The following is a 14,948-nucleotide window of genomic DNA, read 5'->3' as shown; positions in this document are numbered from 1 at the left end:
CACTTTAAAAAATGTTTTATTTGAAATGTATGTACAAAGAAGTGCACATTATCAATAAGTAGACATCTTGATGAAAACGTAGGGCACCCAGATCAAGGAACAAGATGTTGATTACTAACACCCAAGAATCACAATCTCAGCATGACCACTTTTTTCCCTATTGAAAGATTTTAATCAAAGATATCATATGATCAGATTAGTTCCTTACTATTCAGTGAGAATGAAGGCACTGAATGTTTGGAAGGTATTGCTGTAGTTGATGACAAATGGGGTTGTTGGAGAAGAGGAAGATTGACTTGAGTCTTATAGGAGGTTGAATTGTTAGGTCTTCTTAATTGGTATGAAAGGGAAAAGTCTACAATGAGTGTCAGGTTTTTAGAGTTGTCATGGTGTATGTACAATATCACAGAAATAGTTGAGGTTATTCAGTGGAGTTGTAATGTTTTACAAATGGAAAGCTAAGGACATAGTCTTGGAATCCTAAACATTTATAGGGCTTTTGGGCAAGAGTTATTCACTAAAGATGAGGGGGAGAAGTTCTTGCCACACACATATACAATTAATATGTCATGGACATTTTAATGTTAATAAATAATAGTACATCATTTTGTGACTACTTGTCTTATAAATTTCTTTTTTATTATTATTATTTTTTTATTTTTATTATTTATTTATTTATTTATTTTGAGTCGGAGTCTTGCTTTGTCGCCCAGGCCGGAGTGCAGTGGCGCGATCTCGGCTCACACTGCAAGCTCTGCCTCCCGGGTTCATGCCATTCTCCTGCCTCAGCTTCCCTAGTAGCTGGGACTACAGGCGCCCACCACCATGCCCGGCTAATTTTTTATATTTTTAGTAGAAACAGGGTTTCACCGTGTTAGCCAGGATGGTCTCGATCTCCTGACCTCGTGATCCACCCGCCTCGGCCTCCCAAAAGTGCTGGGATTACAGGCGTGAGCCACTGCGCCCAGCTTGTCTTATAAATTTCTTTGCAATATGGCTGCAAGCTCTTACAGATTCTATAAAGGAACTGTGTGATTTAGCATGTTATATATCACAACATGGATTCCTGTGCCTCTTCAACAAAAGGGGCAATATTGATTTTGCTTCTGAAGCTTAGTTCAATATATAGACCCTTTTAATATATATGATTACATTTGAGATTTGCTTTATTAAAACCTGAGTTTTCTGTGATCTGTGTTTCTACAGCCTGATTCTGTGGGTAATTTATTACCCAAGTGGTTTTGTTGTTGTTGTTTTTTGTTTGTGTAGGAGAGAGTAAACTTCTAAAATCTCATCATATTTGTGTTTCTAATATGGATTGTGATCATAGTGGTTGATATATAGTTGAAGTTGCATGATTTTCTGAGTTTTGTAAATTCTAATGTTCCTATATTATTTGGAAATTTGAATTGAGAGATGGGAAAAAATCAGTAGTGAATAGTCTGCTTATTAAATCTAGTTGAATTAAATTGAAATGCATTGAAGAGGTATAAGAACAAAGTGCAACATGTGAACTCTAATTTTCTCCTAAATTAGAAAAATGTTACAAAATTATTTTAGTGACAATTTGAAATTGTAAATATTGCCTTCATATTAGATGATAGTAATTTTTTTTTCAGATGTGATAATGGTATTTAGTTATGTAGGGCAGTATCCTTATGCTTAGGGGTAAAGTGTCATCCGCGCTTAATATCACATGGTTCAGTGTAAGAAAAGTTGTGTCTGCCTGTGTGTGTGTGTGTGTGTGTGTGTGTGTGTGTGTGTGTGTGTAGAGAGAGAAAGAAAAAAAGCAAATGTGGTAAACTGCTAACAATAAGTGAATTTAGGAGAAGGGATACAAGTGTTCATTCAATAATTCTTTCAAATTTTTGGTAGATTTCAAAAATTTTAAAATGCTGGGTGAACAATTAATACTAGGCTTAAAATTATACTTAATTACAGGATTTTTTTGTGTCAGTGTGTGTGTTTTTGGTATTCTCCCAGCTTTCCAGTTGCTTAGCTATTCTTTTTTTTTATTATTGTGGTAAAATATATGTAACATAAAATTTACCATTTTACCCATTTTTAAGTGTATGATTCAGTGACATTAAGTACATTCACATTTTTATACAACCATAACTTCTGTCTGTCCCTAAAACGTGTCGTCATTCCAAATGGAATCTCTTTAACCATTAAACAATAACTCTTTGTTCCCCTCTCCCCCGACATTTCTTTATAGCATTTATGTTCTCCCATTTATAGCATTTCTGTTAGCATTTATGTTCTCTCATTTTTTAAAAAGCTGGAATAGATCTTTGATTCTGATCTCAGGTTATGATAGATTTTTTTAAAAAATTATTTTGAAACAATTCTTGATTTACAGAAATGTTACACAAATAGTGCAGAGTTCTGTGTATCTTTCACCTAGCTTCCCTGATTTAATACCCTATCATAGTACCATGATCAAAACCAGGAAATTAATATTGGTACAATACTATCAACTAAGCCGGGGGTTTACAAACTGCACCTGTGGGCCAAATCTGATCCTCTGCCTGTTTTTATAAATAAGCTTTTATTGAAACACAGCCATATTCATTAATTTACTGTTTTCACATATGTACAATGGCAAAGTTGAGTAGAGATGAGTAGTTGCAACAGAGACCATACGGTCCACAAGTCAAAAATATTTACTATCAAACTTTTTACATAAAATGTTTTATGACCTCTGAAGTAAACTATAGATCTTATTCAGAGATTAGTTTTCCCACTAATGTTTTCTTTCTGCTCTATGATTCAATCCAGGATCTCACATTGCATCGAGTTATAATGTCTCCTTAATCTACTTCAGCCTGTGACAATTCCTCAGTCTTTACTTTGATGACCTTGACACTTGTGGAGTGTTGATTCCTTATTTTCTCAACTGTTCCTTGATATATATTTGTCTAATGTTTTCTCATGATCGAATTGAGATTATTATGCATTTTGACAGAATACCACAGAAGTGATGTTGTGTCTTCAGTGCATGATATCAAGAATAGATGATGTCAGTATGTCTTTTTTTTTGAGAGAAGACCTCGCTCTGTTGCCCAGGCTGGAGTACAGTGGTGCGATCATGGCTCACTGCAGACTCAACCTCCTGGGCTCAAGTGATCCTCTCGTCTCAGCCTCCCAAGTAGCTGGGACCACAGGTGTGTACCATCATGCCTGGCTAATTTTTAAATTTTTTTTGTAGAGACAGAATCTCCCTATGTTGCCCAGGCTGGTCTCAAATTCGTGGGCTCAAGTGATCCTCTCAACTTGGCCTCCCAAAGGGCTGGGATTACAGGGGTGAGCCACCATGCCCAGCCGTCAATATGTCTTATTACTCTCACGGTTAACTTTTGTTACTTGCTTAAGTTGGTGTCTGCTGGTATTTTTCCACTGTAAAGAAGAAAATATTATTTTTCTATCTATATTTAGTATTTTGTTGGGAGATACTTTGTGACCATGCATATATCCTGTTTCTTATCATACTTAAGCCCACTAATTTTAGTATGCATCTTGGGTGAAGCAGTTAGTACTGTGGTATTTGCCTAGTTGTAATTTTCTATTTATTTCATTACTTCCACATTTAGTAATTGTAAGGGAGATTTGTTTTCCCCTATTTATTTATTGCATTATTTATATCAATATGACTTATAGATTTTTATTTTACCAGTTATAATCAAATAGTATCATTTATTTTATTGCTCAAATTGTTCTAGCTTTGGTTGTTGGGAGCTCCTTCAAGTTGAATCTTGTGTCCTTTCAACATGTGCCTGCCCATGTTTGAACACTGCTTTGTTTTCTGGCACTATAAGATGTTGTAAGCTTATCTTGTATTTTTTTCTGCCCTGCTTCCTCTGGCCAGAAAGAGGTTTTCTCCTGGAATTTTATATGCTTCCATTACTGTGTTAATTGTGAGAAAAAGAAAATTGAGGATTCCACATGTAGAGCCTGATTTTCCTGGTGTTGTGGCTAGAAATAGGGATTTTTCTTCACAGTCTTGTTGTCAGTACCGTCTGCATACCTTTGGAATTTAGCCTGCCTTCTGGTCAAAACCAGGAAACAAAGAAAGAAAATAACCATACGCCCTCACAGCTCTCTCCCCTCCACCAATTGTAGAGGGGTCATTATTCAAGTTTTGATTTCAGTCTCCAATCTGCCTATTATTGTTTCCCTTTCCGAGTTCTTCGGTTGTGTCATCATTGGTGGAGACAATCTGTAATCTTACTCCATCTTGGCCAGCCTACCTTGCTTGTTTTGAATAGCCAAACTTCTTTTTCATTAATTTACCTTTGGTAATTACATATATTTTATTGACAGGTAATTTATTCTTATTCTGTCAATTCATATACAATTGAATACTTATATTTTAATGTACAACCACAGTTTTATAATTACATTAGAAATACATCTGAATTTTATGTATATCATGTAAAGCATTAACTGGTATATTCTATATTATGTATTATCCATTCACATATATACCTCTGATGTTCTTACAATGCTCTGTTTTAATGTCGAGTCAGTGGTAAATTAAGTGAATTAGGTTTCTATTGAAAAATAATTAATAATTTTATGTATTTTTTAAAATTCAAGTGAGCAGTGAAGATTCAGAAGATTCTGATTTTCAGGAATCAGGAGTTAGTGAAGAAGTTAGTGAATCCGAAGATGAACAGCGGCCCAGAACAAGGTATTATAATTGGTTTTTAAAAAATTTTAGGAATTAATCTGAATGACCATGCCTTCAAATGATTTATATGGTTACTGTTACCAATAAAGTTAAGTTAGTGTGATATATAATATTTTGATTTGAAACTAATTGTTATACTTAATAGTTTAAAAAGAATCTAAGCATATTTTATGTGTAGTTGAATTATGTATTCTAACCTGGGTAGATTTTCAGTCTGCAAAACCACTCGTGTCTGCAGTGTTTTATTGTTACGGGGGAAATTGTAGGATAATAGTAAAGAGGCTTTATAGAAAAACTGCCTCAGTCTAACTTTGGGCTTTTCTACTTTCTGTTTGTATAAATAATCTATGCTTCAGTTTCCTCATCTGTAAAGTGGGGGATTACAATATACTTGACTGACTATTGTGGGCATTAAATGAGACAATACGTGTACAAGGTTTATAATAGTACCTACCTGGCAAATAGTAAGTGCTCAATATATAAATTATTGGTCTCAGTAGTACTACAGTAATAATGATATGCTTGTTCTTGTAACACGAACAGTCACTGATCTAGATTACCTGTAATTTAAAATTTGGCTTCCTTCTTAGTATGGTATGTTAGATAATACTACTACTACAATTTTCTTATTTCCCCCAGAATAACATAATCTTTCTACAGTTTATCAAATGAACAATCTGTGTGTGTTTGTGTATGTATGTCTACAAAGGTGTCTATCTGCATTTGTAAGTTTTAGAACATTCGAGGTTTTTTTAGGTTAATACTTACCAGGTTGTGCTTAGAATATAGCAATATATTATACTTTAAGTCAATATAAAATGAAAATGATAAGATATGATGAGAGGTTTTTTTTTTTTTTAAACCAAGATACAATTCAGCATGTTATACTGTGGAATACAGTGGTCTTCAGAATATTTGCAAAGTTGTGCAACAAACACCACTCTATAATTTCTGAACATTTCCATCATCCAAGAAAACAACCCTGTACTTACTAGCAGTCATTTTCCATTCCCCATGCCCTCGTACTCTAATAAACACTAAAATCTACTTTCTGTCTCTATGGATTTGCCTGTTCTGGATATTTTGCATGAGTTGATTCATATAATGTATATCCTTTTATGAATGGATTTTTTTTTCACTTAGCATAATGTTTTCATGGTTCATCCATGTTGTAGCCTGTATCAGTACTTCATTCTTTCTTTAATGATTATTTTTAATAGTGGTAAAATGCACATAACATTTACCATCTTAACCATTTTTTTTCTTTCATGGTATTACTGGGAATTTTTATTTTCATCTTAACGATTTTTAAGTGTATGGCTTAGTAGTGTTAAGTACATTCACTTTTTTTGAACCAATCTCCAAAACCTTTTCCCCTTGCAAAATTGAAATGTTACTCATTAAACCACTCTCTTTTTCCTCTTCCCTGAAGCCCCTGGCAACCACCATTCTATTTTCTGTCTCTATGAATTTTACTACTCTAGGAACCTCATATAAGTGGAATCATACAGTATTTGTCTTTTTTGACTGGCTTATTTCACTTAGCATCATGTGCTCCAGCTTCATGTATGTTGAGGCATGTTTCAGAATTTTCTTCCTTTTAAAGACTTAATGTTCCATTGTATACCACGTTTTGTTTATCAATTTATTTGTTGATGGACATTTGATTTGTAACCTTTTGGCTATCATGAATAATGCTGCTTTGAACATGGGTGTAGAAATATCTCTTCAAGTCCTTGCTTTCATTTCTTTTGGGTATATACCCAGAAAAGGAATTGCATGGTAATTCTATTTTTAATTTTTTGACGAACTGCCATAATGTTTCCATAGCAGCTGCACCATTTTACATTTCCATTAATAGTGAACAGGGTTTCACTTTCTCCACATCCTTACTGACAGTGGTTATTTTGTCTGGATTAATGTAGCTTTGTGTACCAATTTCTAAGCCCAGAAATATTTTTCTCACCAAAAGTTGTTACTTTTTTTTTTAAATCTCTGTGACCTGTTATGAAGAAAACAGTATTCAAATTTGTAATCTGCTTTTTTTTAGTGATGATGAATGTTTTTTAGTATGTCTATTGGCTGTTTGTATTTTATACTAGAAGAATAGTCTTAATGTCCTTTTATGCATCTTCTTACTCATATAACAAACCTCCCCTCAGGATACTGTAAAATGTTGATCATTGGATTAAAATGAAGGGTTAGGCTGCTGCTGGAATATCCATTTTGAACCTATTGATTTTTTTTCTGTTTGTTTTTAGGAATGCATACAGAGGTAGAACAGTTTTAAAATAGTACATAACTTATTGATGGAAGTTTATCATGAAATATTTTATTTTGTGTTTTAAATTTTCGTCAGGTCTGCAAAGAAAGCAGAGTTGGAAGAAAATCAGCGGAGCTATAAACAGAAAAAGAAAAGGCGACGTATTAAGGTTCAAGAAGATTCATCCAGTGAAAACAAGGTAATAATGACATTTACCACATGCTTGAATTATAACCAGTACAGTAGACTATGGTAATTATGCTGTTACCTCTCTGTTCCATTCATTCATTGTATTGTACTGGCTTATTTACATTTTACACTTGTGGAAGGATTGGTTATTGAATATATATATGTAAAAGTATTGATTTGACATTATCATTTTTTTCTATTCCTTAATTTCTAATGGAATTTTATTTAAGCCATTCTAATTCATTATTTTACATTTGTAGTGATGTGAGTGTTCTATTTTCTGAAGACAAAATACTATCCTGAATGATGACTCATATATGAATAAATTTCTTCTCATAGTGAAATCAGCCAATTTGAATTTTTGTATTTAAGCAGGCTTACATAAAGTAAAAGGTGTCTGTAATATGTTTGATTCTGTCAACACAATGCTCTTCAGAGGGATATTTGTCTTTTGAAAATTAACTTTTAAAATATTTTAAAATGTACAGTTCAGTGGCCTTAATTATATTCACAAGCAGAAACTCTTCACTCATTAAACATTAACACCATTTCCTTCTATCCCCCATCCCCTGGTAACCTCTATTTTCATTTATGTCTCCAAGAATTTGTGTATTTTAAGTACCTCATATATATAAGTTGAATCATGCAATATTTGTCCTTTTGTGTCTGGCTTATTTCATTGACATAATATTTTCTAGGTTCATCCATGTTTTAGCATATATCAGAATTTCATTCCCTTTTTAAGGTGAATAATATTCCATTGTAAGTGTGTGCCACATTTTGTTAGCCCAGTCATCTGTTGATGGACATTTGGGTTGTTTCTACCTTTCGGCTATTTTGAATAATACTGCTATGAATATGGGTGTTTACATATCTGAGTCCCTGTTTTTAATTATTCTAGGTATATATGGAAAAATGGAATTGCTACATCATATAGTAGTTGTATGTTTAACTTTTGGAAAACTCCACACTGTTTTTCTCTGGTATCTGTAACATTTGACGTTCCCGTTAGCAATGTACCAAGATTCCAATTTGTCTGCATCTTTGCCAACACTTCCTTTGTTTCTTTCTTTTTTTCTTTTTTTCTTTTTTTTTTTTTTTTTAACAAGAAACATCCTAATGAGTGGGAAGTGGCATTTCTTTGTGGTTTTGTTTTGTATTTTCCTAATGACTGGTGATATTCAACATCTTTTCATATGCTTATATCTTCTTTTGAGAAATGTTTATTCTAGTTGGTAGCCCATTTTTAATTGAGTTGTTTGTTTTTTTTAATAGGTGTTGAAGAGTTGTTTTTTTTTTTTGAGACAGAGTCTCGCTCTGTCGCCCAGGCTGGAGTCTGATGGCACGATCTCGGCTCCCTGCGAGCTCCGCCTCCTGGGTTCACACCATCTTCCTGCCTCAGCCTCCTGAGTAGCTGGGACTACAGGCGCACACTGCCATGCCCGGCTAATTTTTTTTTTTTGTATTTTTAGTAGAGACGGGGTTTCACCGTGTTAGCCAGGATGGTCTCTATCTCCTGACCTTGTGATCCACCCGCCTCGGCCTCCCAAAGTGCTGGGATTATAGGTGTGAGCCACCGTGCCCGGCCGAAGAGTTGTTTTTTTTTTTTTAATACTACTCTATTGCTGAATATAATTCTAAAGGTTTTCAGCATGTTTTCTTCCACCTTTTCCTGCTGTGTTAATTAATGGAATATGAAATGGATAAATTAAATGACTTTGTACTGTTTACCTCTAATTGTTTAAATTCTGTAGAGTAATTCTGAGGAAGAAGAGGAGGAAAAAGAAGAGGAGGAGGAAGAGGAGGAGGAGGAGGAAGAGGAGGAGGAAGATGAAAATGATGATTCCAAGTCTCCTGGAAAAGGCAGAAAGAAAATTCGGAAGATTCTTAAAGATGATAAACTGAGAACAGAAACACAAAATGCTCTTAAGGAAGAGGAAGAGAGACGAAAACGTATTGCTGAGAGGGAGCGTGAGCGAGAAAAATTGAGAGAGGTAACTAATTTCTTTCTTCTTCTTTTTCTTTTGTAGCTACAGGGTCTTGCTCTGTTGCCCAGGCTGGCCTCGAACTCTTGGGCTCAAGTGATCCTCCTACCTTGGCCTCCTAAACTTCTGGGATTACAGGCGTGAGTCAACACACCCAGCCTTAATTTATTTCTATTAATGATTTATTTTATTTGGTATATGACTTCAATATATTTCAGCATTTTAAGAGTAGAATGTTGTAATCTACCACAGATTTCTTTTTTTTAGACGGAGTCTGGCTCTGTTACCCAGGCTGGATTGCAGTGGCATGATCTCAGCTCACTGCAACCTTTGCCTCCTGGGTTCATGTGATTCTTGTGCCTCAGCCTCCCAAGTGGCCGGGACTACAGGCATGCACTACCACACCCAGCTAATTTTTGTATTTTTTAGTAGAGTTGGGGTTTCACCATGTTGGCCAGGCTGGTCTTGTGCTCCTGACCTCAAGTGATCCACCTGCCTCAGCCTCCCAAAGTACTGGGATTACATGTGTGAGCCACCTTGCCCAGCCTCAACCACAGGATTTCTAGTTGCAATTGATTTTTCCTACTGTCACTATTTCATGCAACTTAAAATAGTCATTAAGCTTTATTAATTTAATTAAGTGCATGGAAAGCATTGAGATTCTTGAATGATCACCAAAATGGTTATGTTGTATTTTGGGTAGAGAAATGTTTCAAAATTACTTCTTAAATCCATAAAAGATTTCAGTTTTTTAAATGGACTTTATGTTACAAAAGTTTTCAAATTCACAGGTGGAGAGAATAATATAATAATTCTCCCTGGATCTATTAACTCAGTTTCAGCAGTTACTAACACAGGACGAGTCTTGTTTCATCTTTTTTTTTTTTTTTTTTTTTTTTTTTTTTGAGATGGAGTTTCACTCTTGTCACCCAGGCTGGAGTGCAGTGGCCCAATCTCGGCTCACTGCAACCTCCACCTCCTGGGTTCAAGTGATTCTCCTGTCTCAGCCTCCTGAGTATCTGAGATTACAGGTGCACGCCACCATGCCTGGCCGTTTCATCTATTCTTTTTCCTTCAGATTATTTCAGAGCAAATCTCAGAAATCATATTCTGTTTATAAATAGTTGGGAATGTATTGTTAAAAGATAATGGTATTTTAAACATTACTGCAGTGCCATTATTAAACTGAATTCTCTCATTGCCTCACATAGTAGTTTTAAAAAATAGTTGGTATGGGCCTGGCGCGGTGGCTCACGCCTGTAATCCCAACACTTTGGGAGGCTGAGGCGGGTGGATCACCTGAGGTCAGGTGTTGGAGACCAGCCTGGCCAACATGGTGAAACCCCGTCTCTACTAAAAATACAAAAAAAATTAGCCAGGTATGGTGGTGCACGCCTGTGATCTCAGCCTCTTGGGAGGCTGAGACAGGAGAATTGCTTGAACCTGGGAGGCAGAGCTTGCAGTGAGCCAGGGTTGCACCATTGCACTTTAGTCTGGGTGACAAGAGCAAAACTCTGTCTCAAAAAAAAAAAATAGTTGGTTTGAATCAGGGTCTTAACAAGGGCCATCTGCATATTCTGTTGTATTTGGATGTTACATCTCTTACCTAATTTTAACCTAGTTTCTCTTTGGTTCTTTCTTTTTCTTTACCCATTCTTACAGTTCATTTGCTTAAGAAACCAGATTATTTTTGTAAAATTTTCTATATTCTGAGTTTTGTTATTTGCATCCCTGTGGTACAGTTTCACTGGCTTCTATATTTCGTATAAATTGGTAATAAGATCTAGAGTCCTGATCAGATTTAGATTCAGTTCTCTTTTTGGTAGAAATACTCATGGGCAGTAATATGTACTTCCTTTTGGATCTCATTAAGAGGTACTTTAAAACTGCTTGTCCCTTTTTTTGTGGTACAGCTCCTCTAACTTTGTTCCACTTTTTCAGAATCTTTTTGGATATTCTCAGTTCTTTGCATTTCCACATAGTATTACGTTGTTGGTTTTTACAAAAATCCCTGTGGAATTTCTGTTGGAATTTTGTTGAATCTTTCTTGTAATGTGGCCAGAAGACATCTTAACAGTGTTTTGTCTCCTGTTACATGAATATAGTGTACTTCTCTATTTATTTACCTTCTCTTTAATTTCTCTTAGGAATGTTTTGTAGTTTTCTCTGTACAGGTCTAGTACATATTTTAAAAAATTTATCCCCAAGTAATTCCTGATTTTTGATGTTACATTGTATTAGTCCATTTTCACGCTGCTAATAAAGACATACCCAAGACTGGGCAATTTATAAAAGAAAGAGTTTTATTGGACTTATAGTTCCATGTGGCTTGGGGAGGCCTCACAATCATGGTGGAAGGTAAAAGGCACATTTCACATTGTGGCAGACGAGAAGAACTTGTGCAGGGAAACTCCTCTTTTTAAAACTATAGATCTTGTGAGACTTATTCACTATCACAAGAACAGCACAGGAAAGACCTGCCCCCGTGATTCAATTACCTCCCACTGGGTCCGTCCCACAACATGTGGGAATTCAAGATGAGATTTGGGTGGGGACACAGCCAAGCCATATCATATAGTAAATGTAGTTTCACGTAATGTTGGCATAATGACCTTGTGTCCTAAGCTCTAAATTTACTTACTCGTTATAGTAGCTTTTTTGATAAATTCTTTGTGACTTTCATGTATACGTTTGTGTTGTCTGTAAAGAAAAACTATTTTGCTAATTCCATTCCAATCTGTCATTTATTTTTTTAAAATTATAAATGGTGAATTTCTTCAAATGCTTTTCATTGCATCTGTTGGAGTGACCTAGAAAATGTCTTGTATTCCTTGAATAAACCTTGCTTAGTCACGTTATATTACTCCTTTTATATATTGTATTGCATTTGCTGATCCTTCCTTCCTTCCTTCCTCCCTTCCTTCCTTCCTTCCTTTCTTTCTTTCTTTTTCTTTCTTTCAAGATAGGGTCTTGCTCTGTCTCTCAGGCTAGAGTGCTATAGTGTGATCATAGCTCACTGCAGCCTCAAACTCCTGGGCTCAAGCAATCCTCTTGCCTCAGCTTTCCAAGTAGCTGGGACAACAGGCATGTACCACCATACCTGGTTAATTTTTTATTTTAGAGATTGGGTCTCATTATGCTACCCAGGCTGGTCTTGACCCCCTGGCCTCAAGTGGTCCTCTCCCATCAGCCTCCCAAAGTGCTGTGACTATAGTAGGGAGCCTCCACACCTGGCATATTCCATTTCTTTAATACATGTAGAACTATTTAGATCTTTTCTTTTTCTTTAGGTCTGTTTTGGTAAATTTCAAACTTAAGGAATTTTTCCATTTCATTTAAGTAGTCAAATTATTTATGTAAATTTGTTTATAGTCTTTCATTATACTTTGTAGGTTCTGTCATTTATTGTTTCTGTTAGGAATTTGTGTTTTATCATTTTTTCCTTGATTAATCTGTGCAAAAAGTTCACAATTTTACTATCTCAAAAAAAAAAAAAAACGCAGCTTTGGATTTCATTAATTTTTTTTCTATTGTTTGACCCTTTTCTATTTCATTGATTTTCATTCTTCTTTTTACTGTGTTTATCCTTCTTTGGACTTATTTTCTGTTCTTTTTCTAGCTACTTAAGGTGGATTTTGGATCTTCTTTAACGTATGCATTTTTAAAGGTATAAAATTTGCCACTGTGCATACTGTTTAAACACTGCATCTTACAGATTTTGGTATTTTGTGTTCATTTTTACTCTGCTCTGAATCTTTTCTAATTTCTGTGAGCCAGAATATGATCTGTCTTGGTGGATGTTCAATGTTTATATTCTGCTGTTGTTGGGTGACATATTCTATAAATTTTGATCAGATTATATTGATGGCTGATTATATTCACATCTTCTGTAGTTTTAATGGTATTCTCTCCAATCAGAGGAGTGTTGATGTCTCCAACTATAATTGTTAATTCATCTCTTTCTCCTTGTAGGTCTCTCAGATTTTGCTTCATGTTTGCTGGAAGTTGTTTTGTTAGGTACATATACATTTAGGATTACATCTTTCTGGTTAATTCCCCCTTTAACAACATGTAATGTGACTCTGTATTATCTGGTAATTTTCTTTCACCTGAAGTCTGCTGTATTTGATAATAATGGTAACGACATCATCATCTTTCTTTTCCAACATCTTAGGAAAAGTTTCATTTATACAGCCAGGTTGAAAGTATTTCATTGATTTCCTGTAAACTTACTTCCTAGATTTTTTTCATTGTCATATTTTTCATTTTCATGTTTCCTTTATTACATTCCTATTTATGTACTAATCTTTATCTATCAGTACATCTTTTTATGCATTTCATAGTAAATTGCATACATCATTTCATTTATCTCAAATGCTTTAGCAGGTGTATCATTAGCTAAAGTTCAATATTTATGTGTTTTCCTTTTTATGTAAAAGGAAATTTACTTAAAATGAAAGGCAAAAATCTTGTGTACATTTGTTTTTGAATAATATGTGGTGTATATTTTCTCATTATTTTTTTCTAGTAATTTTGTTCCCCCACAATTTTATCGTGAAATTTGTAAATATATGGAGAGAATTGTAAACATGAACACGAATGTACCTACCATGTAGCTTCTTCATTTCTTAACATGTTGCTGTATTTGCTTTATTACATATCTGTCTTATCTATGCATCCATCAACCATTTTATTCGTCCCTGCTCTAATCTGTATTATTTCCTTTTATTCTCTAGCTAGGGTTTAGTTTGTGCTTCCTTTTCTGGTTCCTTAAGGTGTAAAGTTAGGTTCTTGATTGTGATCTTTCTTCTTTTCTACTGTATGCCTTTATCGCTGTAAATCCTCTTCTTAGTACTGTTTTCTCTACGTCCCATATGTTTTGTATTTTGTGTTTTAACTTTCATTTGTCTCAAAGTGTTTTCTAATTTTCCTTGTGATCTTTTACTTGATCCTTTAGTTACTTATTTAATTTCCACATATTTGTGTTCTTTCCAGTTGTCTTCTGTTATGGATTTTTTGTTGCATTCCCTTGTGACTGGAAAAGATACTTCAGTCTCTTTATATTTATTAAGGCTTTTTTGTGCCTGATTATATGGTCTGTCCTTGAGAATGTGCACTTGAGAGAAAATGTATAGTCTACCATTGTTGAGTGGAGTGTTCTTTATATGTCTGTTAGGTCTATTTTTTTTTTTTTTTTAAAGACACAGTGTCTTGCTCTGTTGCTCAGGCTGGAGTGCAGTGACGTGATCATAGCTCACTGTAGCCTCGAACTCCTGGGCTCAAGTGATCCTCCTGCCTCCGCCCCTTGAGTAGCTGGGACCATAGGTGCATGCCACCACCCCAGCTAATTTTTTTAAACTGTTTTACAGAGGCAGGGTCTTACAGTGTTGCCCAGGTTGGTCTCCAACTCCTGGCCTCAAGTGATCCTCCTGCCTTGGCTTCCTAAAGTGGTGGAATTAAGGCATGAAACACTGTGGCCAGCTCCAATTGGTTTATAGTGTTATTCGAGTCCTATATTTCCTTAATTATCTTTGTCTACTTGTTTTACGCTTTTATTGATATTGGGCTATTTATGTCTCCAACTGTTTCTCTCTTTTTTTGTTTTAGTTTTCCCCTACTACACTGATGTATATTTCTCCTTTTAGTTCTTTCAGTGCTTTCTTCATATGTCTTGGTGCTCTGTTGTTTGTTGTATTTATGTTTATAATTACATTTTTTGAGAACCTGGCTTTATTATCAATACATAATATCCTATTTGTCTCTTGTAACAGTTTCTGACTTAAAGTCTATTTTGTCTGATGTCTATATAGTCATCTCA

General features: G+C 34.9%; 1 protein-coding gene across 11 annotated transcripts in view; it reads left to right on the top strand.

The window, feature by feature from the left end:
* Nucleotides 1–14,948, top strand: part of ATRX (ATRX chromatin remodeler) — a 281,337-nt gene that overhangs the window by 124,964 nt on the left and 141,425 nt on the right. For all 11 annotated transcript variants that reach the window (XM_005262156.5, XM_005262157.6, XM_006724666.5 and 8 more), the window contains 3 exons: nt 4,600–4,693; nt 7,053–7,155; nt 8,900–9,139. In XM_005262156.5, the coding sequence (XP_005262213.2) occupies nt 4,600–4,693; nt 7,053–7,155; nt 8,900–9,139 (437 nt within the window). The remainder of the gene's footprint in view (nt 1–4,599; nt 4,694–7,052; nt 7,156–8,899; nt 9,140–14,948) is intronic.

The sequence above is a fragment of the Homo sapiens genome, chromosome X (assembly GCF_000001405.40).
Source record: "Homo sapiens chromosome X, GRCh38.p14 Primary Assembly".
NCBI classification, from domain to species: Eukaryota; Metazoa; Chordata; class Mammalia; order Primates; family Hominidae; genus Homo; species Homo sapiens.
Note: the sequence above shows the minus strand (reverse complement) of the source record. Positions and strands in the feature narration are given on the sequence as shown.